A 15546-nucleotide genomic window follows, 5' to 3' on the forward strand; every position below is an offset into this window, starting at 1 on the left:
TTTCCGTGGGTTGCCCCCCAATTCCCCAGCTCTGCTAACCCTCCCGTGTTCAGCCACCCTGAGCAATCTTGTTCCCTCACCCACCACATCTCTCCACCTGAGACATGAACACCCCACCCTAACGTCCCTCTGCTCATCCAACTCCTGTTCATCCTTTCTTTGGGAGATCTTCCATGGCTCCCTGGGTGACCCCTACTCACTGAGTCCTTAGTTCCCACTGCACCCTGTGCCCAACCTGGGAAAAGCCTGAGCTCTCTCGGGTTCCTCGCTTTAAAATGGGATCACTTGCCTGCCCCTGCTGAAAACGAGGCAAGGTAGAAGAAAGCCCTTTGCAATCTGTAAAGGGCTAGCTAGGCACCTGAGGGCTGTTATTGGCATTTGGTTCCAGGAAGGCCCTGTTTTTGATCGTCTTCTCTGTTCCATCCTCTCCAGGTGAAGCTTCAATGTGCCCCGAGAGCCAGGTATCCGCAGAAACAGAAATACTGTGTTATTGGCAGGAATTAGATAAGCTTGTGAATTTAGGGATCTGCTTCGCGCCAATTTCATCAGCTTGGGGATGGGGGTGGGATGGGAGTGGGCAATCTGACTCTTCTAGGACAGCCTCCTCGTATTCCAGGTTATTGTTTCCCCATCCCAGGAAATCCTGCGGGTGCCTTCCCCCAACGAAAGCCACTGATGTCGCCCCTCTCCTCCCAGCAGCTTCCAGACCGCGACCTTCTGTAGCTCTGCTCAGAACTTCACCTGGAACAGCTTCTTACAATTCTTAAACAGCCCCTCAGTCGACTGTGATTAAGCATACACTCCAGCCTCAGCAAGCTTGGCGTCTGCCCCTGCCGCTGGGAGACCCTCCTCCAGGCACCTGCCCTGGGCCCCGCCCCGCCCGGTCCGCGCGCACGCGCAGTGGCCCCACCCCGCCCCGCCCCGCGACGCCCGAGGACCCGACGGAGCTACACCCGCTAGTTCAGCCAGGAGGCCCTGCGCGGCTCCGGGGAGAGCTGGGTGGTTATGCCACCTCATTAGACACATTGGTGGACGATGCCGCGGATTAGCGGGTTGGCTCTCAGGGCGGGGCGCAGGCTTTCTCACTGATCCGGGAGCGTGGGAGCAGGGGCAACGCGGGGCCATCCGGGAGCTGCCCGCCTGCTTCGCAGTTGGCTTTCCGGGCCCTCGAGCAACGTCTGACTTTGCCCTTTGTTTTTAAACACCATGCAGGATGGTTTGTGTACAAACGAAGCCGTGTCACTTCTCAAGTGTCGGTGCTCAACGTGGCAACGCCCCTCCCGCCCCCAGTACAGAGATCCTGCCCATCCACCGACAATCCCCCTCCTCATCTTCCTTCCCCCAGGTGCGAGTGATTCAAGGAAATCCGACTGGAGGGAACACACGCTGCGATGCACCCTCTCCTCTTCCATTGAGCCAGGGGTGACCTTGAGAGACTCAGGCCACCTCACCAGGCTCTACCAGGAACAGCGTCTACAGCTGGTAGAGAGCACGGGCTGCAGAGAGGTAAAGATGGGGTTCGGAAGCCAAGGCTCCCCTTGTTGCATGGGTGACATCAGGCAAGCTACTCAACCTCTAACCCTGGCTTCCCCTTCTGTATACTGGAGACAGTATCGGCCCCACAGGCACTTGTGGAGCAAGTGGGTTTGAGCTGAGCTCCTCTGAAAATCAGAGGCACACTCAGAGAGTAGCTCAGAAAACCAGGATGTGTCAGTTTCATTTGCTGGGAAGCAGAAGCCAAGATAGAATTAGAAGTGCAATGTCTGTGAAGGAAGAATAAAGGGAAAAGGAAACAGGAGTGGGGCAGGGGGCAGACCAAAAGGAAGACAGACAAGTGTGAGAAGGAGCCCCACAGTGCAGTGTAAGCTTAAGAAGGTGTGGAGAGGATGGGAGTCACTCACTGGGCAGGAATGGCCCAGCTCCAGCACCTTGCTATGACCAGCCAGCTGCTGGGAACAGGCCAGGAAGAGTGTGGCCTTAGCGCAAACACTGGGGTGGATCTCGAGATGAAGGTGTGGCCGCTGGAAGCTGTCACTTCACCACTCCTCTTCTGAAGAGAGAGCTGAGCCCTGCACATGGGAGCATTGGTGAAAAGGGTGGTAGACGTTTATCAGTAACCTTACTGGTTTTGTGCTCCATCCTCCATCTCCCAAAGTCCCCCTGACCTTGCCTTCAGCTCCAGGAATGGCCACATGACTCAGACAAAGCCAACCAGCCATCCCATTTCAGTGGCCAGTGATGAATGATTCAGTGTTTACCCAAACGCATCCAATCAGGGTGAATCTGAGGACATTTGCTGGGGAGGCTGGGACACAGATAATCTCTTTTCTGACAGATGGTAACAAGAAAGTAGGTAGCTGCAGGGGCTGCTGGCAGCCATCTTGAGACATGAAAGGTGTCCAAATTGGGATGAATTCAGCACTGAAGATGGTGGTACAGAGAAACAGGAGATAGGGCCTTTGATCACATTGTTGGATGGCTGGTTAAGCCTCTCCTGAAATCCATTCTACTGCTGGACTTTACAGTTCATAAACTAATAAATCCTCTTTACTGTTTGAAGCAGTTGTGTCAGGTGTCCTGTTACGTATAAGAAAGGCCTCTGATTTGATCAGCAATAGGGAACTGGATGTCCTCTGAGCTCCAAAAGTCAGCACAGGCCTAATGCTCAGGCGTTATGGAGCCTCGGACTGATGAAAGGGTGGTATGGGCATCCATGACTGCTTTTGGGACCTCAGGGGAGCAGTGTGTGAATGTTCATTTCAGAGTAATGACAGCAACTCCACGTGTCTGCATCCTTTTACGCCCAGCCACTCCCTTTCCTATGACCAGCTGCTGTCTTCACCCTCTCGCCTGTATCTTTTCTCCATTACATAGATCCTCCTAACTCACACTTCCTCCTTCCTGAGTCGAGTTTGCAAGACTGATTCCAGATTCACCTTGTGATTATCCTAACGCATCTCTTACCTTCAATAACTTCCAAGGGCCTTATCCTCTCTTCATTTCCCAATTCAAATTTCCGGGAGCAGGACTTGGATTATCCCAGCTCTTGCCTATTTAGACAACCTCAGAGATTCTATTTCCACTGTATGTGGAGGGGACTGAGTATTGGTACTTTTGAAAAGTTTCTTGGATGGTTCAAGTGTGCAGCCAGAGTCAAGAACCCCTGGATTAGTAGAGCTTTCCAGGCCAGCTGACCCCACAGTCGGCCCTTGGGTCAAGTTCAAGCTCAATCCAGTCAGCTAAGAGCAGAGCCACAGGGTCTCACTATGCCCAAAGTCCCTTCCATTGGCAGAATCTGTGGCTACAGAAGGAGTGAGAGGAGGCCAGGCACAGTGGCTCATGCCTGTAATCCTAGCATCTTGGGAGGCCAAGGCAGGTGGATCACCTGAGGTCAGGAGTTCGAGACTAGCCTGGCCAACAAGGCAAAACCCCATCTCGACTAAAAATACAAAAATTAGCCAGATGTGGTGGCAGACGCCTGTAATCCCAGCTACTCAGGAGGCTGAGGCAGTAGAATTGCTTGAACCCAGGAGGCGGAGGTTGCAGTGAGCTGAGATCGTGCCACTGCATTCTAGCCTGGCAACAGAGTGAGACTCTGTCTCAAATAAAAAAAAAAAGAAGGAGTGAGAGGAGATAGGCCCCTGCTTGACATGCTGAGGACAAACAAGCCTAGCACAGCGCTTGGCTTCATGCAGTCGCTCAACAAATGACAGATGTTATTACATTCCTGTCTCTTCTGTAATTCAAGGGGATGCAGTTGGCCCTCCGTATCCTGGGGTTTCACATCCATGACTTCAACCAACCACAGACTGAAAATATTCAGATAAATAATAAAATACAATAAAAAATGCATATTTTAAAAATAATATAGTATACTAACAATTTCCAAAGCATTTACATTGTATTAGGTATTATAAGTAATCTAGAGATGATTTAAAGCATACAAGAGAATGGAGGTAGGTTATACACAACTATTATGCCATTTTATATAAGGGACTTGCACATCGCTGGATTTTGGTATCTGAGGAAGTCCTGGAACCAATCTCCCACAGATACCGAGGGACGACTGTATTGTCTTTAAAATAAACTATGCATCTGGGTGTGGTGGCATGCATCTGTAGTCCCAGCTACTCGGGAGACTGAGGTGGGAAGATCCCTTGAGTTCTGATCACATTACTGCACTCCAGCCTGGGCAACAGAGTGAGACCCTATCTCTTAAAAAAAAAAAAAAACGTAAAAAATAATAACGTAAAACGAAATAAACTATGCTGCTATAACACAACAGAGGAAGAGCTGCTGAGGAAGCACCTAGAGGATCTAGGCATCCATGCTTAGCAAATTTACTACAAAAACAGGAAAATCCTCGCTAATCAGATTTACATTTGAGAGCAATTGCTGCCAGTGCAATAGGAATAAATGCAGTTATGAGTGTTATATTTCAGGAGGTTATTTGATGACATGGGAAACAGGACCTCATGTTAAGAGAAAGAAGGATATAAATTTATGTAGTATATGATTCAAATTTTGTTTAAAAACTACATGTGTTTACTCATGTTTCTACAAAGAAAAATAGAGAAACTGAAAAGGTATCTGTGGTTTCTCAGGAGAAAGAGTTGTTCTTTTTTTTTCTTTTTTTCTTTTTTTTTTTTTTTGAGATGGAGTCTCACTCTGTTGTCCAGGCTGGAGTGCAGTGGCATAATCTCGGCTCACTGCAACCTCTGCCTCCCAACTTCAAGCGTTCAAGCGATTCTCCTGCCTCAGCCTCCCAAGTAGCTGGGACTACAGGCATGCACCACCATGTCCGGCTAATTTTTTTGTATTTTTAGTAGAGATGGGGTTTTGCCATGTTGGCCAGGCTGGTCTCGAACTGCTGAGCTCAGTCCTCGGCTTCGATCCACCTGCCTCGGCCTCCCAAAGTGCCGGGATTACAGGCGTGAGCCACTGCACCCAGCCGAGAGTTTTTCTTAAAGCTAATTATGTCCAATTTAGAGGGCTAATCTTTATTCTAAATACTATCCTTCTACTTTTTGGCATTAACAGGCTTTTATGAAAGGATTGTTTCAGTAGAATACTGCCTGGGTTGGGTTAGAGATGCACATCCAGAATGAAAAGTCGGCAGCCTTATGTCAGCACCCTCTGCACGCTACCCTGTTTGGTTTTGTTTCTAATTTTAATTTTGTAGAAATCAATACAGAACTCTGGAACCCACTGCTTTAGAAGATAAGAATCTCTTTCCTGCTCCGATCATTCTGGCTTGCCTTGGATTTAAGGCTCTTCCAGAAGGACCTGGCCCTGATTCACTGGGATAATGTCCACCATGTCCAGGGGCACTGCCCAGAGGGGGTACTTTTCATATTCTCTACCAACTAATCTTCCACCTGCCAGCCTAGGGGGCAGTGAGTGGAGAACGCTGGGAATTCAGGGTTGGGGAGGAGGGACAGCAACAGGAAAAGATTGAACATATGTGCCAATTAGGCCAGGAGATGAGGACCCCAGACCCGGAAGAAGGAGGAAGAAGAAAGACACACTTGATCTTCCTGCTTAGAATGTTGGCAGAAGTCATATTCAAAAGATAAGAGAATCAAGACTTATGAAACAAAAGAAAACCAAAGAAAGGCAACACGGCCGATGCTAGGTGGGGATTACTAGCTAGTAAAGAGCTGTCGAGTGTTTGATGCCATTTATTCATTTGAGCTCTCCAGTTGCCTAGTTTTTCATTCAACAAGTGTCGTCTGAAGGTGTTGTGTGGACAGAACGTTGTGTGGGATCCAAAGCTGAAACAGATACTTAAGTCTGTGCTCTAGTAAATAAGATAGGACACGCATATTTACCCCACAGGGAGCAATAAATACTCTAAGACCATTACAAATTGTTCTGGGAGTTCAGAGGAGGGAATTTATTTCTAGTCCAGAGCAATGAAGGGTGACCTCCTGGAGGAAGTGGCAGTTGAATGGGGGCCTTGAAGGATGGGTGAGATTTAAACATGCAAACTATCAGCAAGGGAAACGGGAGAGCAACGCAGGAGCAAACATCAAGATGGGAAAACACAAAGCATGTAGGGGAAACACAAATGCAATATTTTGTATTATGGGCGAGGCTCTACAAGAGGCACTGGATTGCAATGGGACTATTGTTTCCAGGGGCCCTCTGGGCTGGTGGTCAAACTACTGGAACTATCACTATTTCAGACCAAGCCGGGCTCACAAGTCTTAGCTGTTCTTGCCAATTCTTCTCCTGAATACTCACTCCAATAAGAGCAGTCAGGAAATGTTTCTTGGGAAATAGCTTCAAAGACACCAACATACCACTATGAACACTTAAAATATGGAGACAGAGCATTTGGAGTACTGCTCCCAGCATGTTGGAGGGAAAAGAAGCAAGACCCTTCCCAGAGGTAAATCCTGTTGTTTTCTTCCCAGTGCTTGGGCATCCAATCCCACATTCATCCTTTTCCTCTAACTTATCTTTTCATGACTTTGGAAAGCAGTCTTCCTTATCTAAGAAACAAATGGCCTCCCCGGAGAGCTCAAAACAGCAAAGTCATTTATCTGTTTGACATGTGTTTGCCTGTTTGTTTTCTCCAGCCTTGAGACAAGAGTTGTGTCAACTGTGGATGGCTGTGCCCCAGTCACTTGAGAGACATGAATCAATTTCCAGCTGCATTTATCACTTGCTGCCTTAAATCAAGTCTAATCAATGCTTCCTTCATTTGGTATGGATTGAAACTATATATAACACACTCAGAAAACAGGAGAGAAAAGCAGCAGATCACAAAAATTCCATCAGGGATTTAGATGGAATGATGTTAGAGAAACATTTGCAATCTTTCATTTGCTCTAATGGAGACCCCTGACCAAACAATCAGAGATTTGCGTTTATGAAGCTTCATTTGAATTTACCTGACATGCAATGACATTCCATGACAGGTCATTTGATACATTGGGGGGGGGGGGTGGTTTCTGCATCTTTAAGGATTTTATAATTAATACACTCTTAGGATCTGATGTATATTTATAATTTTATTCCTATACTAAGTTTTAAACTCATTTCCATTTATTTTAGAGATATCTGTTTTGTCATCATTGACTATATAAGTCAATTTCCAGTTATAACATATAAAGTAATAAAAATCCCTTTGTAACAAAGTAGATATCCAGGAGTCTGGTTTTTTTTTTTAAATAATTTTATAAAGTCTTAAATATGGCCCTCTCTCTACTCCTCCCAATTCTTGGTATTAATAATAGAATTTGATCCACGTAACCAAAGTGGATTTTTCATTAGCAGGTGTGAAAACCGCTCCCCAGCTGTCAACCAATTTAGAATGTGGTAGGGAGCACTCTTGTCTCATTTGCAGATTAATCTTGTGCCAGTGAAAGGTGATACCAGCTTAGTTACCGGCACCTAAAACCTGGCCATGCCCACAGCAAGGCCTCCGATTATTCTTCAAGGATAATGGGACAAGAGAGACAGAACATAGAAAAATAGGTCAATGATAATGCAAGCCTAGAAGATGAGGCAGTGCTGTGATTCATTGGCATAATTAATATTTCTATCTAATCTGCTGAACTGTGTAGACTTTTACCACTAGCCGGCCTCTGTAGAGATTAACAGGGCTGACTCATTTTCACAGTGCCGGCTCCCCCAGCGACCTGTTGTTAGGTAGCTAAATAGAGCCCTGTTCAGCTCTGGGAAGTCAGACAATAATAATAAACCCTTACGTTGGTTTAACACTTTCCAGTTTATAAAAGTGCTTTGAACATACAGTCTCCTAGCACTGGAAGGCCAGCAATAAAAGCAGTTCTATTTCCATTTCTGTCTACGGCCATACCACCCTGAACGCGCCTGATCTCATCTATTCCTTTTTTTTTTTTTTCCTTTGAGACAGAGCCTCACTCTGTCGCCCAGGCTGGAGTGCAGTGGCACAATCTCGGCTCACTGCAATCTCCGCCTCCCAGGTTCAAGTGATTCTCCTGCCTCAGCCTCGAGTAGCTGGGATTACACGGGCCCGCCACCACCCCCAGGTAAGTTGTTTGTATTTTTAGTAGACACAGGGTTTCACCATGTTGGCCAGGCTGGTCTCGAACTCCTGACCTCAAGTGATCTGTCTGCCTCGGCCTCCCAAAGTGCTGAGATTACAGACATGAGCCATCGCGCCCAGCCCCGTTTCTAAGATGAAGGGAAAGGTGTCGTTTGGAGTCCCCCCCTCGTGAGCCAGCTACAGTGGAGCTGGGTTGAATTGGAGGCTGCCTCTTGTCAACTGCAAAGTCTTGGTTTTTCCCACTGAGCTGCGACTAGGCAGTCACTGGGTCTCTTCCCTATTCTTGCCCCAACTTATTTTTTTCTCCCATCATCTAGGAGTTTTGGGAAACCCATATGGTTATAGGAGATCCCTAAAGTTGCCTGGCAGGTTGTCTAGTTTAAAAAAATAAATGAAAGGCAGCACCTCTGGAGGTGTTTTGGGTTACTGAGCTAGTGTAGTATAGTGTTCTCAGCCCATCTTAAACAAAGACAGAGTAACGTGATATAACAAAGCTTCAACCTCCATGAACAAAGAAAGGGTAGGAGAAACACTGCCGACACGGACTCTGAAATTAAGGAGCTCACTCACGTTGTCTTTAATACTCATGAGGGTTGTTTAATGAGCTGCCTGGCTTTGAGGATGTCCGGGAAGGATCATGTTTGCTCATTCTTTGAGGAAGGGAATAACAGGTTTTTCTACCCAAGACAAGTCTCACTGAAGTAGATCCTGTCAAGATTCCTAAGAACAAAAATTGATGGAAGGAAGAAAACTTCCATGGCGTTAAATTTTTAGACGAGAGGATTTGCTTAACTGGCTTGACTTCAGTGGAAGTAAATGAGGGGAGTTACAGATAATACTTTTTCAAACTGGCTTCAGATAATGTACTAGTGAGAAGAAATGCATTTTCAATGGTCATAAGGATTTGGAAGCTCTCCAGGGAAGCTGAGAGAAGTCTTGTGAACACATTCCAACAAAGCAGTTATAGTGTTCAGGAGTTCACAAGCATTTTAAGTGCCGTAGTCACCCCAGGATCATGTTAATACAACCTGGAAAAGTACAAACATTCACAACCTTCACAAACCCTAAGTAAAAAGCATCATACCCTTTCTTGAAATTAATGATGCTACTGAGATTAATAGATGAGATTTCATTTCCTCCTCAAAGCAAATTGGTTTATCTTATTTGTTCATTCATTCAACAAATATTTATGGAGTGCTTGAGAATACGGACACTGATGATTCAGTGTTAACAAGACCCTACCTCCCCAGCAGCTTAAACTCAAGTGGGAAAACCCATATTTAAACTATTAATGGAGAATTACACTTCCAATCCCGATGGATTAACAGGGACCAGATTTACTCTCCCGTCAGACATAACCAAAGCAGAAAAATGGGAGCAATACACAAAACCATGGCTTTCCAAACTCTGAACTTCAGGCAATGAAAGACAGTGATCCTGAGAGACAGAAAACAAGGTGAGATCTACTGCTTTGAAAGACTTTCCATGCTATGTAGGGAAGGACAATCAAGGCAGAACCCAGGGGGTTATGGAGTTCAAAGACAGGGCTGAGGACTTGGGGTGACCAAGGCAGCTAACATTTGCAGCACAGAGCTCCAGAGAGGAGAGAGCTGCACAGAGAACGCTGGATATCTGGAGAGAGAGAGGAGAGCCCTCTTCTAGAACCATCTGAAAAGATGAGAGGGGGCTGGGTGCGGTGGCTCATGCCTGTAATCCCAGCACTTTGGGAGTCTAAGGCGGGTGGATCACCTGAGGTCAGGAGTTCGAGACCAGCCTGGCCAACATGGCGAAAACCCATCTCTACTAAAAATACAAAAAATTAGCCAGGTGTGGTGGTGCATGCCTGTAATCCCAGGTGTTCGGGAGGCTGAGGCAGGAGAATCACTTGAACCCGAGAGACAGAGGTTGCAGTGAGCTGAGATCATATCACTGCACTCCAGCCTGAGTGACAGAACAAGACTGTCTCAAGGAAAAAAAAAAACACACACTCACATTAGAGAGAAGAGTCCTCAGTACGCACACTGGGAACAGTGTGAGTTCAATCAGCCAGGCTGAAAAACTCATAATTCATAAGGCATGGTGGAGCACTCAGGAATATCAGCACTGGGGAATAATTTGCCCTAGACTGAGCACCACTCCAGACCTGCCTAACAAATTACAAAGCAAGACCCATAAGGATCAAACTACTTCCATGTCACTGGACTGCATCCCTAAACAAAGATCAAGAGTATATATAAGAATGCATATCTAGCACCTAAGAAGGTAAAATTCACAAAGTGTGGCATCCAATCAAAGACTATGAGGCATGCAAAAAAAAAAAAAAAAAAAAAAAAAAAAAAAAGACTCATATGAGGACTTGTATCCAGAATTTATAAAGAACTCTCAAACTGCCGGGCGTGGTCGCTCATGCCTGTAATCCCAGCACTTTGGGAGACCGAGGTGGACAGATTGCTTGAGCTCAGGAGTTCAAGACCAGTCTGGGCAACATGGCAAAACCCCGTCTCTACCAAAAATACAAAAATTAGCCCAGCACGGTGGCACACATCTGTAGTCCCAGGTACTTGGGGGGCTGAGGCATGAGAATCGCTTCAGCCTGGAAGGCAGATGTTGCAGTGAGCTGAGATCACGCCACTGCATGCCAGCCTGGGTGACAAAGTGAGATTCCAGCTCAAACAAAACAAAACAAAACAAGGCAAAAAAACACACAAAACAAAACCAACCAAACAAAAGAACTCTAAAAAATCACATCCCAGCCTGGGCAATATGACGAAACCCCATCTCTATAAAAACTACAAAGATTAGCTGGGTGTGGTGGAGCAAGCCTGTGGTCAGGAGGAGGTGCGAGGATTGCTTGAACCTGGGAGGGTGAGGCTGCAGCAAGCGGAGATTGCACCATTGCACTCCACTCTGGGAGACAGCGTAAGACCCTGTCTCAAACACACACGCACACGCACACACACACACACACACACACACACAGGCAGAAGATTTGAACAGACACTTCCACAACAAAACACCACTATCCATCTATAAAAATGGTAAAAGTTTAAGAGACTGACCATATCAATAACCATCATGTGGAAGACTGGAACTCGCATAAACTATCACTTTTGGTGGGAATGTAAAATGGTACAGCCATGCTGGAGAACAGTTCAGCATTTTCTTAAAACATTAAACATATACCTACCATATGGCTTGGTCATTCCACTCTCAGGTATTTGACTAAAGAAAGGAAAGCATACGTCCACATGAAGACTTGTACACAAATGTTCATAACAGCTTTATTTATAACAGCCCCAAACTGGAAACAACCCAGGTGTCCATCGATAGGTCAATGAACAAATCTATTCAATGAAGCAGTACTCAGCAATGAAAAACATAAAAACAAAAACTCGTGACACATGCTACCACATGGATGAATCTCAAAATAACTATACTGAGTAAAATATGCCTGACCAAAAAAGGGATACATATTGTATGATTCAATTTACATAGAATTCTAGGACATGCAAACTAATAACAGGGCACAAGGGCACTTGGGAATGATGGGTCCGTTCCTCACTTCAGTTGTGGTGATAGTTTTACGCAGGGTATACATACGCCAACACATTGTACACTTTTGATACGTGCAGTTTATTGGGTGTCAAGTACACCTCCTAAAATAAAAATATTGATGGGCTCTACATTCTGGAGACACGGGCAGTAGAACTATTATTTTCAGCTTGAAATATTAGCTACACTTTGGTAAAAATACTTTTGAACTTTATCTTCACAGTCGCGGCAAGGAAAACAAAAGGTATAAACATTCATTGGTTGAAAAACAATGTCATAAAGTTGTCCCCGTATCTGTGGGGGGTTGGTTCCAGGACTCCTGAGGATACTAAAATCCTCAGATGCTCAAGCCCCTGATAAAAAATGGTGCAGTATTTGCATATAACCTACCCACATCCTCCTGCACAGTTTAAATCATCACTAGATTACTTATATTACCCAATACAATGTAAATGCTGTGGAAATAGTTGTCATACTGTATTATTTAGAGAATAATAACAAGAAAAAAGTCTGTACATGTTTGGTACAGATGCGATTTTTTCTTCAATATTTTTGATCTGCAGTTGGTTGAATCCACAGATGTGGAACACACAAATACAGTGGGCTGACTATATACTAAGAAAAATTACAAAGTGAAAATGAAGAATTCTCATTCGGTAAATGAAACCCAATCTACCATATTTCTCAACAATGAATAAAACCACCTAAGAGTCAATTATTTGGTGTCTGACAGCCGTCTCTCTCCTGAATATTGCTGCGGTTTACAGCAGTGGTGCCCTTGGGTTCAGAAACCTGAACTGTAGTCTTCAGTTGTTCCCCAAGCTCCTCTATCAGAGGCCCAGACACTCCAAGAGGCCAGGAAGAGGCAAGTGGCTTTCCCTGACTGGCATCAGACTCCTGGATGGCTGTGTTTCTGCGTACTCCACCATCAACAATAAGAAAGGCACTGCTTTCTTCAAGAAAGGGACCTTGCAAAGAACTGACTGTCTCAGATGGACTATCTTTGAGTTCATCTTGTTCTGAATCTGAGCCTGAGTCTTCGTTTCCAGATGACACGCTGCTGTCTGAGTCCTCCGAATCACTTGCCTCAGAGCTGGAGCAAAGTGTCTGCTGCCCAGAAACTGAATGGGCTGCTTTTAATGCAGTTTCTTCCTCCTGGACAAGCAGTGCTGCTGCTTCTAGTTCTTCCAGTTCTAACCCCAGCTGGGCCTTTGTAAGGGAGACTTCCTTTAAGGCTTCTGCAAGAGCTGCCAACTTTTTGGATCTTGAAAACATTTTAAAAAGAAAGATTAGAATTATTTATTAATTGGCCTGGGGATAACAGGTTATACAGCTTCCAAAAAAATAAAGTTGAATCCATATTTTAAATGGCACACCAGGATATATATCATAACAGATCCAAGATATTTATGTAAAAAATGAAGCTATTAAAAGTATTACAGGGAAACACAGATTTCTTTTATGACCCTAAGAAGGAGGAAGACTTTTCTAACTATGACTCAAAATTCAGAAGCCACAAAAGACTGATAAATTCAACTAAATAAAATCAATTTCTTGGCCAGGCACAGTGGCTCACGCCTGTAACCCCAGCACTTTGGGAGGCTGAGGCGGGTGGATCACCTGAGGTCAGGAGTTCAAGACCAGCCTGGCCAACATGGTGAAACCCTGTCTCTACTAAAAATACAAAAAATTAGCTGGGCACAGTGGCAGGCACCTGTAATCCCAGCCACTTGGGTGGAGGGGGGGCTGAGGCAGGAGAATCACTTGAATTCAGGAGGTGGAGGTTGCAGTGAGCCAAGATCACACCACTGCACTCCAGCTAGACAACACAGTGAGACTCCATCTCAAAAAGAAAAATAGAAATATCAATTTCTTCTGGGTAATATATCTATAATAAGCACATATGTGTGTGTGTGTGTGTGTGTGTGTGTGTGTGTATATATATATATATATATATACATATACATACACTAATAAAGCCTAACTCTCCTAACAGAGTTCCTAATAATGGATATATAACAATCCAACAGAAAAATGGACAGAAGATACAAGCAGACAATTTTCAAAAAAGGAAATATAAGTAACTCTTAAATATATTAGATGTTCAACTCCAGTCAAATAAGAGACATACAAATTAAAGTCATATGTCAGATATATTTTTTATTGGCAAATACCCAAACATTTGATATTATTCTGTTAACAAGACTGCAGGAGAAAAGGCACTTTCATATACTGATGCAGGGAGATTAAATAGCTACAATCCCCATGAAGGAGAACTTGGCAATAACTTTCAAAATGGAAAATGTATATACCCTGGACCCAGCAAGCCCCATGTCTGAATAACTTTCAAAATGGAAAATGTATATACCCTGGACCCAGAAAGCCCCATGTCTGAAAATTAAACACATGTAGTAAACCTATGTCATGTATGACATAGGTCTGAGGTTATTTACTATGACATCGTTTTTTAATACCTAAAAATGGGAAACAGCCAAATGTCCTTGTTATAAGACTGGTTGACTGGTGAAATAAGTTATGACATATCCATACAACGGAATAGCCTACAGCTGTACAATGAATGAAGCTCTCCATGGGCCAATCCAGACTTACTGCTTAGCAACACAAAAGGCTCACCATATGTATATGCTACATATATATAAAAAGGGAAAATAACAGGAAAGATATCAAAACAGATATTTCTATTTGCTTGTATACTTCTTAATAAACTCTCCAAAGTCACAGAAAACAGTAACTTCTGTAAAGGAGATAAGGTGGGAACTGGAAATATGGGGGATGACACAGGATGATGGCGTGACGGAGCCTTTTCACTGCCTATTGTTTTATTTTTTAAACCTATATAAATGTTCATAATCTTAAAATGTACAAGGAGGAAAAGCAATATCAGCAGCATGGAGTGCTTTTTCTTTTTATGAGAAAACCATTTCATATTATTTCAGAAGATTTTTTTTTTTTGAGACAGAGTCTCACTGTGTCGCCAGGCTGGAGTGCAGTGGTGTGATCTCGGCTCACTGCAACCTCCGCCTCCCAGGTTCAAGTGATTCTCCTGCCTCAGCATCCCGAGTAGCTTGGACTACAGGCGCGTACCACCATGCCCAGCTAATTTTTTTGTATTTTTAGTAGAGACAGGGTTTCACCATGTTGGCCAGGATGGTCTTCATCTCCTGACCTCGTGATCTGCCAGCCTCGGCCTCCCAAAGTGCTGGGATTACAGGCATGAGTCACCAGGCCCAGCTAATTTTTTTTGTATTTTTAGTAGAGATGAGGTTTCACCATGTTGGCCGAGATGGTCTTGATCTCCTGACCTCGTGATCCACCTACCTCGGCCTCCCAAAGTGCTGGGATTACAGGCGTGAGCCACCATGACCAGCCGAAGACGCTTTTCCTCTAAATTACCTGCTAGATTTATAATATTACATTGTATCGAGTAAATAAACTTTTCCATTATTAACTTGGATGCATTTAGTTGTTTTTTGTTTCTAAAAGAACCAACATGACACAAACTGGCATTCTCCAAAGATGACTACTATTCTTAAGGGGAAATCTGATGTGACAACTGAAGAAAGGTGACAGTGAGTGAAAGTGGTAAACATGCTGACATGGTTTCTATGTTTCCCTGACTCCAAAGATTAAATGAACATACAAAACATTGAGTGGCTTTGAGACAAACTGGATGACGGTGAGTTTACAAGATAAATTCATTTGTAAAAGTATAGTCCATCCCATAATATCAGGAAAATGAGGCTTCATTTCAGTGGAGCTGATGGTACAATGGGAAATACCGAACAAAGATGGTATTTTAATCTGGGTGCCTGCATGTACCTGAAATGCTATTTCTCAAAGTACTCAGCACAATAATGAGATTGTGCAGGGATTGCCCCCCACCCCCCACAACCCCTGCTGCCTCTTCACATGTGTAATCAGGCCACAGAAGCACC

The 15546-nt window shown here is 44.5% G+C and overlaps 1 protein-coding gene and 1 long non-coding RNA gene across 3 annotated transcripts in view, besides 1 other annotated feature; one reads left to right on the forward strand and one right to left on the reverse strand.

The window, feature by feature from the left end:
• The window catches only part of SHQ1 (SHQ1, H/ACA ribonucleoprotein assembly factor), a 123174-nt gene that overhangs the window by 12711 nt on the left and 94917 nt on the right, over window positions 1-15546 (reverse strand). The window contains exon 11 of one of the 2 annotated variants that reach the window (NM_018130.3): window positions 11295-12854. The exons of the other annotated variant lie outside the window; for it this stretch is intronic. Within the exon in view, the coding sequence (NP_060600.2) occupies window positions 12302-12854 (553 nt within the window). The 3' untranslated portion in view covers window positions 11295-12301. Of the gene's footprint in view, window positions 1-11294; window positions 12855-15546 lie in introns of those variants that run through there. 2 annotated transcript variants of the gene reach the window in all.
• Window positions 924-2559, forward strand: LOC124909396 (uncharacterized). The gene is made up of 2 exons (XR_007095963.1): window positions 924-1052; window positions 1346-2559. It is a non-coding gene; the product is annotated as an uncharacterized LOC124909396 (long non-coding RNA).
• Window positions 1227-1735: an enhancer, noted in NCBI's record as "H3K4me1 hESC enhancer chr3:72788360-72788868 (GRCh37/hg19 assembly coordinates)". NCBI's record gives its function as "activates a minimal SCP1, AML or CMV promoter by ChIP-STARR-seq in primed H9 embryonic stem cells {active_cell/tissue: H9 hESC(primed)}" and the evidence as "EXISTENCE:reporter gene assay evidence [ECO:0000049][PMID:30033119]".

Source organism: Homo sapiens, chromosome 3 (assembly GCF_000001405.40).
Source record: "Homo sapiens chromosome 3, GRCh38.p14 Primary Assembly".
Classification (NCBI taxonomy): Eukaryota; Metazoa; Chordata; class Mammalia; order Primates; family Hominidae; genus Homo; species Homo sapiens.